The sequence below is a fragment of the Homo sapiens genome, chromosome 3 (genome assembly GCF_000001405.40).
Source record: "Homo sapiens chromosome 3, GRCh38.p14 Primary Assembly".
Lineage (NCBI taxonomy): Eukaryota > Metazoa > Chordata > Mammalia > Primates > Hominidae > Homo > Homo sapiens.
Window position 1 is genome coordinate 88,014,240 of NC_000003.12, and position 5,258 is coordinate 88,019,497.

Genomic DNA, 5,258 nt, shown 5'->3' on the forward strand with positions numbered 1-5,258 from the left:
GAGAATTTCCTGACACATCTTCTGTGGCTGGAAACTATATTTCCCAGAATTACCTTCCCTATGTGGCTTTAAGTCAGAAGTAACTTACGCAAAATTTGGAAGTTGGAAGTGGAAGCAGATATTCAGTGGCTTCACAGACCTCTCCATGAGCTACCATTTTGCCTGTGGGAGGAAGACTAAAAGCTTCTCACACTCTTCTCAAATTCTTGCCTTTCAAGCCACTTGACGCTTCAAGCTGAAAACATTAATGATGTGATCCTCTGGCTTCCTTCCCAGCCTTTCCACACTCATATAAATTCAAATTCTTATCATAAACCTTTCTGTTTCCATAATAGTTGTCATGGCTCCTCTCTTGTCTGAATCTGAGTTGATAAAGAGTTTCTTCAAGTTGGCTCCTGAGTCCTTTGGATATACACAATATTGTAGTTTTTGGTAACTCACTTGCTTTCTGGAGTAAGAATATACTATAAGGTTATCTTCTTGTATTCCTGTCTAAAATCTAGAACCAGCTATTTCTTCAGGGACTCCCTGTTTTTTAAGTTACTTGGAATAGTTCTTCTCCATCTGACTACTTATTTATTAATTATAGATGTATTAATAATAGCCTATAGTACTCTCTGCCATTAAATCCTCTCATTGCACTTATATTCTAATGGAGAAGACAGAAAATAAGCAAATAAAATGAGCAAATAAATAACAAGCAAGTAAAATGAGCAAATAAGTATTTTCTCCACTAGAATGTAAGTCCAGTGAGATCAAGGATATTGATTTGCTCACCACTGCATCCCTAGTGTCTAGCAAAGTGCCTGGCACATCACACGCACTCAAAAATTTGTTAAAGATTAAATGAAATGTTTGTTCCTAGTTCATATCGTTTTCTGCCATTTTAGACCAATGACATGGCCACCACTTATAACAATACTCTGCACAAACAATGCTCTGCATAAAGTAGGGAGCAACATTCACATTGCAGTTAATGAAAATGGCACCCTAGGATGGTGGACAACCTCAATAACAATTCACAGCAGCCCTGCGACCAGCTTAATAGACATCTCTAACTGAACGCCCGCAGGCATTTGAAACTCAACATAAAAAAAAATCTTATTTCATTACTATTATTTATTGCCCCATTCTCCTCTTCTAAGCTTCCCTATCTCTGTTTTAATAGTTCCATTATACTCCCAAGAAACCAAACTAAACCGGAAACCTGAGAAGCTTCCTCAATCCCCCTTTCCCTTATGAGCACAAGTTAGTGTGTACCTTGATAGTAAGAGGTGACAGCGTGCTGGCAGTCCTCACAGCCCTCGCTCGCTCTGGGCGCCTCCTCTGCCTGGGCTCCCACTTTGGCGGCACTTGAGGAGCCCTTCAGCCCACCGCTGCACTGTGGGAGCCCCTTTCTGGGCTGGCCAAGGCCGGAGCCGGCTCCCTCAGCTTGCGGGGAGGTGTGCACGGAGAGGCGCGAGTGGGAACCCGGGCTGGGCACGGCGCCTGCGGGCCAGCTGGAGTTCCGGGTCGGCGTGGGCTTGGCGGGCCGGCACTCGGAGCAGCCGGCCAGCCCTGCTGGCCCCGGGCAATGAGGGGCTTAGCACCTGGGCCAGCGGCTGCGGAGGGTGTACTGGGTCCCCCAGCAGTGCCAGCCCACCAGCGCTGCGCTCAATTTCTCGCCGGGCCTTAGCTGCCTTCCCGCGGGACAGGGCTCGGGACCTGCAGCCCGCCATGCCTGAGCCTCCCACCCCCTCCGTGGGCTCCTGTGCGGCCGAGCCTCCCCTACGAGCGCCGCCCCCTGCTCCCGGGCGTCCAGTCCTATCAACCACCCAAGGGCTGAGGAGTTCGGGCGCCTGGCACGGGACTGGCAGGCAGCTCCACCTGCAGCCCCGGTGGGGGATCCACTGGGTGAAGCCAGCTGGGCTCCTGAGTCTGGTGGGGATGTGGAGAACCTTTATGTCTAGCTCAGGGATTGTAAACGCACCAATCGGCACTCTGTATCTAGCTCAAGGTTTGTAAACACACCAATCAGCACCCTGTGTCTAGCTCAGGGTTTGTGAATGCAGCAATAGACACTCTGTATCTAGCTAATCTGGTGGGGAGGTGGAGAACCTTTGTGCATAGCTCAGGGATTGTAAACGCACCAATCAGCACCCTGTCAAAACAGACCACTGGGCTCTACCAATCAGCAGGATGTGGGTGGGGCCAGATAAGAGAATAAAAGCAGGCTGCCCAAGCCCGTAGTGGCAACCCGCTGCGGTCCCCTTCCATATTGCGGAAGCTTTGTTCTTTCGCTCTTTGTAATAAATCTTGCTGCTGCTCACTCTTTGGGTCCACACTGCCTTTATGAGCTGTAACACTTACCGCGAAGGTCTGCAGCTTCACTCCTGAAGCCAGCGAGACCACGAACCCACCGGGAGAAAAGAACAACTCCAGACGCTCTGCCTTAAGAGCTGTGACACCCACGGCAAAGGTCCACAGCTTCACTCCTGAGCCAGTGAGACCAGGAACCCCACCAGAAGGAAGAAACTCCGAACACATCTGAACATCAGAAAGGACAAACTCCAGTCACGCTGTCTTTAAGAACTGTAACACTCACCTCGAGGGTCCGTGGCTTCATTCTTGAAGTCAGTGAGACCAAGAACCCATCAATTTCGGACACAATAGGTCTCCTCTTCATCCCCTTCTTCTTTTCTCATTACTGTGTCTCAAGTTTAAGATTTCATTGTCTCTCCTTTGGTATCTCTACATCCAACTCCATCCAAGTGCAATCTGTCCTCTATAAAAATTTTTGAAGTCATCTTTTTACATCTCAAGGGTGGTCCAGGTTTTTCTCTTGTTTACATCCTTCAGTGGTTTGCCACTACCTATGTGGGATCAAGTCCATGCTCCTTAGCAGGATGGAGAAGACTGGTCCCCACCCTCGTCTCCAACTGTATTTTATACTCTGCCCCAAGCTCTTACATTTAACTTGCTTGTAAATTAAAGCCCGTGATCAATTTTATTCTTTTTTTTTTTTTTTTTTTTGAGATGGAGTCTGGCTCTTTCGCCCAGGTTGGAGTGCAGTGGCGCCCTCCCGGCTCACTGCAAGCTCCGCCTGCCGGGTTCACGCCATTCTCCTGCCTCAGCCTCCCAAGTATGTGGGACTACAGGTGCCGGCTACGGCGCCCGCTACTGCGCCCTGCTAATTTTTTGTATTTTTAGTAGAGACGAGGTTTTACCGTGTTAGCCAGGATGGTCTGGATCTCCTGACCTCGTGATCCGCCCACCTCGGCCTCCCAAAGTGCTGGGATTACCAGCGTGAGCCACCGTGCCCGGCCTTATTCATTCTTTTAAACTCAGCTCAGGTAATACCTCTTTCCTAAAACTTCTCTTAGTTTTTCTCCACTCCAGATGAGCATTCAACTTCTTCTCTTGCTGTATTATCCTGTATTATTTTGAACACCTATTTTCTCTATGGTTCTTGTTTTCATTTTCATCTTCTCCAAACCTCTTAGCTCCTTGACATCGAAAGCCATACATATTTTTTCCTGTTTCCTTAGCTTGTAGCCTAGCAAAGTTCTGGGACAAATATTGTAAAGCTTGATAAATGATTATAGAAGGATGAACAGATTTATAGATATCTGAGAAATGTTTTTATTTAATAGAGTATTATATTGAAACAATATTACGGGAACTACTGCAAACTGAAACCCAAGCTACTAGTATTTCCACACAAGTCTTTATAAAAAGGCCCACTAACACCTTAACACCTCCTCCCAATGTCTTTGTAATGAGCCTGAAAAAGACTGAGGTCATGGACTGACATCCTTGCTACCACTTTCCCCAGAATGTGCCTGTATGGTTGATATCACCTTTGAATTTTCACCATGCATTTGGGGGAAAAAGAGACTGAAGAGAGTTAATGACATAGCATATGGATAGAAAAAGCAGAGTGGTAACTAGCCAAAGTTAGAGATTTCATCCTCATATTTGAGTAAGCTTACCAAGGTCAGGAAAATTCCACCATGACTACAAATGATCACTGTGGAAAGACTAGAAGATCTAGACTCACCCAGCATATTCATAATTCTTAGATTGAAAGGACCTTTTCATTAACATCTGTATTTATTGTTTGAAAGTGCAGCCAATACCAAAAGTTAAGGAAGGAAGGAAGGAAAGAAAGAAAGAAAAGGAAGGAAGGAGGGAAGCAAAGAAAGAGAAAGAGAAAGGATTACGAAGAATACCAGGTGTGGTGGCTCACACCTGTAAACGCAGCATTTTGGGAGGCCAAAGTAGGTGGATCACCTGCGGTCAGGAGTTTGAGACCAGCCTGGCCAACATAGTGAAACCTTGTCTCTATTAAAAATACAAAAATTAGTCAGGTGAGGTGGCGCACACCTTTAGTCCTAGCTACTCAGGAGGCTGAGGCATGAGAATCGCTTGAACCTGGGAGGCAGATGTTGCAGTGAGCCGAGATGGCACCACTGCACTCCACTCCAGGCTGGGCGACAGGGTGATACTCTGTCTCAAAAAAAAAAATGGAATATGAAGAAAGAGTTAAATTTAGGCTGAAGTTATTATATAGCACCAAGAGATTTAATCATTAATAATAACTAATACTTTTTAAATTGTTTGAAAAGTACTCATTTTTTTCTCCTATTTTTAACTTTTAACAGGTATGCTTGTAAGCCATATATTATTTAACTTTTAAGTATTATGGAGTATTAAAATGCAAATTGAAAACAAAAATATCAGACCTTGCACTCAAAGAATTTCAAATGAATTTAAGATGACTGAGACACACACACACACACATAACAAGAAGATGGTATAATATAGAATATTTTTCTTGCAGGAAAAGCCTTGAAAATTTTTGGAGTACATATAGTAAGAATGCACTTCACTGCAGCAAAAGTAAGTGTGGCTTTGAACAAAAGTTTGCTTCAGTATAGCTGTTATGTGACACCTAGTAGCTCTGTGGTTTTTGTGGACACGTAAAATCTGCTGAACTCTGAAAAGCATTTCCACAGTAGTCTATTTTACATAAGTACACTGGTGCCAGACATTTAACGCTAACCACAGAGTGAAAAAGGCAGCATGCATATAAATATATAAATAAAAATTGATATGTAAATAATCATAATCACATCACTACAAACCACATGTTTTTCATAAAATATCTTAATTTTCAAATTGGCAGGCTGATCACTTGTAATTGGAGAAAGCCTTCAAACTAAATAAATATAATCTATTATAAACATAAATGATTTGAATTGATTTGGATAGGTGAG

General features: G+C 44.3%; 1 annotated feature.

Moving 5' to 3' along the window:
* Positions 4,876-4,925: a silencer, noted in NCBI's record as "silent region_14546". NCBI's record gives its function as "represses an Ori minimal core promoter by ATAC-STARR-seq in GM12878 lymphoblastoid cells {active_cell/tissue: GM12878}" and the evidence as "EXISTENCE:reporter gene assay evidence [ECO:0000049][PMID:35858748]".